The sequence below is a fragment of the Homo sapiens genome, chromosome 10, assembly GCF_000001405.40.
Source record: "Homo sapiens chromosome 10, GRCh38.p14 Primary Assembly".
NCBI lineage: Eukaryota > Metazoa > Chordata > Mammalia > Primates > Hominidae > Homo > Homo sapiens.
In genome coordinates this window covers 21722648-21726521 of record NC_000010.11, presented here as the reverse complement: position 1 = coordinate 21726521, position 3874 = coordinate 21722648, and the positions used below count along the sequence as shown (strand labels likewise).

At 37.8% G+C, this 3874-nt stretch overlaps 1 protein-coding gene across 4 annotated transcripts in view; it reads right to left on the bottom strand.

Moving 5' to 3' along the window:
* Nucleotides 1-3874, bottom strand: part of MLLT10 (MLLT10 histone lysine methyltransferase DOT1L cofactor) — a 209875-nt gene that overhangs the window by 17109 nt on the left and 188892 nt on the right. For all 4 annotated transcript variants that reach the window (NR_136736.2, NM_001324297.2, NM_004641.4 and 1 more), the window contains one exon: nt 167-278. Coding sequence is in view for 3 of the 4 variants with exons in the window: in NM_001324297.2 (NP_001311226.1) it covers nt 167-278 (112 nt within the window). In the remaining variant the exon portion in view is untranslated. The remainder of the gene's footprint in view (nt 1-166; nt 279-3874) is intronic.

Sequence of the window (3874 nt, the reverse complement as noted above, 5' to 3'; positions counted from 1 at the left end):
CAGCACCTGAAATATTTAACATTTTCCAACTGTGAATATTTTTTTAAAGTACAAATCCTCTACTAACCACATCCCTGCATGTTTTCAAATAAAATGAACCAAAAGGGGAAAAAAATTAAAGTAGGTGAGAGTAGGGTTTTAGAGTTAGTAATTCTTGAAAACTTACCTGTTTGATTGTTTTCAGACTGAGCTATAAGAGCTGCCATTGATGAATTTGATCTATTGCCATACATATGAGATGGTGCCTGACTGAGAGAAGATCCAGATAGAGTATTTGCCTAAATGGAAAAAATTACAATGATAAATGAATTATATGTGAAAATATATTAAAAGTTTTCCCTTCTAATAGATCTAGTAATTATATTCTCCAACCTAAGAATATAAGCAAAATTTGTGACCTTCTGAAAAGCAAATTTCGTTCTTACTTGTTTTACCATTCAACATGTCAATTTTTTAAAAGTTACATAACTAGGCCGGGCGCGGTGGCTCACGCCTGTAATCCCAGCACTTTGGGAGGCTGACGTGGGCAGATCACGAGATCAGGAGATCGAGACCATCCTGGGTAACATGGTGAAACCCCCGTCTCTACTAAAAATACAAAAAATTAGCCGTGCATGGTGGCGGGCGCCTGTAGTCCCAGCTACTCGGGAGGCTGAGGCAGGAGAATGGCGTGAACCCAGGAGGTGGAGCTTGCAGTGAGAGGAGATCACGCCACTGCACTCCAGCCTGGGCGACAGAGCGAGACTCCGTCTCAAAAAAAAAAAAAAAAGTTACGTAACTACAATTTTTTTTTTTTTTTTTTTGAGAAAGAGTTTCACTCTTACCCAGGCTGGAGTGCAATGGCGCGTTCTCGGCTCACTGCAACCTCCGCCTCTAGGGTTCAAGCAATTCTGCCTCAGACTTCCCAGTGGCTGGGATTACAGGAGGCGCCCGCCACCACGCCCAGCTAAATTTTTTGTATTTTTAGTACAGACGGAGTTTCACCATGTTGGCCAGGTTAGTCTCAAACTCCTGACCTCAGGTGATCCACCCGCCTCGGCCTCCCAAAGAGCTGGGATTATAGGCGTGAGCCACCGCGCCTGGCCATAACTACAAATTTTTAAAAAAGAAGAACTGGCACGTTGGAAGGTAACTATTCCTGCTTTTAATTTTCAACATATCTAGCTGATACCAAACCCCAGTGGCACAGCAACCATGTGGACATGAGACTAATTAATCTTATTAAGCCATCTGAAACATAAAAGCAGGAAGACAACAGGTATCTAACCAAATGCTTCAATCTCTCATATCACAAGCTGGCTAAGGAGGTCAAAAGTCCAACTTTTACTTCTAGTATTTTAGCTACAGGGAGCTGTATTTCCATTGCTTAACTCTGTCATTAGTAAAACCTGCACACTATTTTGTTACTTCCTATTTTGATAGACTTGGAAGCCTGCTGCTTTTTCTGTTTTGTTTTGTTTTTATTTTAAAAGAAAGCAAACAGGCATCCCAAGTATGTTTTCTATACAATGCAGGACTCAACGAATCACAGCTTTGCCCTGACCCCATATAAGGCACTGTCTTTTTGGCAGCAAGCCAGCTCTACTAACTGAAGAGCTCGTCCAAAGTTTGTAATTCATTCATGTTGCTAACCACAATTCTGAAGGCCTCACTGGGACCTGTGCCAAACAAGCGAAAATGAACCCTTAAACAGATGAAGCTAAGGAGGCTGGCCAAAGTATTGCGTAATCCACTGTAATAAAAATGCTTTCTTTGATGTGCATGCTCTCTCCCACTTTCCAAGAATATTATGACCTTAAAATTTGACATTTTGGAGGCAAATCTCTTGTATACAAAATGCTGTTACTCACAGAAGACTCTCAGTGGCCTGAAATAATTCTCAGATTTAACAGAACCACAAATGTTAAAGTAGAATTGTTCTTCTTTTTCATGAATGAAATCAAACTGAAGCTTTTATAAACTAAAATCATTGCAGTTATTTCAGAACAAAACTCTTGAAAATATCGGCAAAGAACTAAAGCACTTCTATCGTAAAGAAGCTGAATAACAAGAACAAAAGATGGGGGACATTTGGATATGTATAACTGCACACAAGAGACTAAGACAACACAGTAGTTGTAAGCAAAATAACACAGAGAAGAAGCTGTATTTCTGGACAGACTCACATCATGACATTGCATCTTGGCCTTCAGCCCACTTACAAAGCATGAAAATGTGCGTTTATGGTTCACGGAAACAGTTTCTGGGATGTACCATCCTTGCTTTCTATTATCTCAAAGCGTGTATTTTATAGTTCACACTTTAATGTGTAAATTAAATCTGTCAATTTCTGGGTTTTGTTTTTCCTCTTATTAAAAATATGCAGACAAAGTCAGTAAGTTGGTACTCTTCAGTCCTGTTTAACAATCAACTGTCCCTCGGGAAAAGGTAAGTTATAACTTCAACATGAAGATCGTGCTGTTCACTTACCATGTATTTAGTAGTAGAGGGCACATAAAACACACAATTCATAAACAGAGATACAGTTAAGATTTTTTTCTCTCTCCAGAAGTCAATTCTTTGGGAATCTTAGCTATTAATAAAACAATATAGAATAAGAAAAATACAAACAATTCAACAGAAAAAACAGATATTACCAGTCCCATCTGTTGACGTCTCAGATCCTAATACTTAAAAATAGCTTTTGTAGAGCCAATTTACTCTTACTGTAGATACAATTCTAAAAAAGATCCACTACACATTTAATAGATTAGAAATGGAAAATTAATTAGAAGGAGGAAGAAACAGTCTTATCTCGAGACAGTCTGTTGACACCAAGAAGTAACAGCTGACCACAGGACAGGGCAGAGAAAAATAGGACCAACAGAGAAAACACAGTACAGAATGCGGATACGGTGGTCCTCCAAGAAGACACTGAGGATAGCATTCTCATTTTAGTTTATTATTAACTTTATAAAGTGTACTTCTAGATGCCTTAGCACTTCCAAAGCAAGGAAACACTCCCAGCCTTTTGACTCTCGTTCATGCAGTCATCTATGTGACATATCAATATATCACTTGGAATACCTTTTTGCTTTCAATTATCAGTCTCATCACTTGCCTTAGATAAGAATCCAAAGATCCAACTCTCACTAGAACTAGAAATATACTCTTTTTTAGGAAGGGTTCCTTCTGCCAAGGGCTTTATATTAATATTTATCCTTATTAGCTTCAAATTTCAGAGGGGTGGCATTTTCTTGATCTAGTCTCTGAATTATCTTAGTTTCCCTATCTATTAGATCTATATATACTAAAGATCAAAATAGAAAGGAGTATGGCACAACAACTAATTTGCATAATGATGATCATCAAAAAAAGATAAAGTATCTTTAGCGTATGCTAAAGAAGGAAAGTATCTATTTTTAAAAGATGGCTGGCAAAAGTTGATACAATAAATGAAAGTATTATTGGAAATGACCAATTTCCCAAACGGGTTAGCTAAAATTAATGTGGTAGTTGTTTTTCTAGTAAAGGCATTTATCTAAACAAGAGACTTTCAAAAGAGAAATTAAAAGTTATTAATTTTACCAGATAGAGTCATTTTGGTGTATAAAAACATCTACTACATTCCATATTAATTTCTGCTGGGAAACTGAAATCATGAACGTCATCATTTTAAGGTTGGTAAGATGAGATACCAAAGACTACACAAATGACTGTCACTGCTTAGCCTACATTTCTTAACTGATGTTTGGAACAGTTAATACTGGGACCCTTGATGAGTCTTTCGGAAAGACTGGGTACCTCCAAGCCAAGAAACCCCCACCTTTTAGTGGAAAGATCCCACAGCTTATTAGCACTGAAGATGCAGAAGAGGAAGACGGCTTACTGAAGA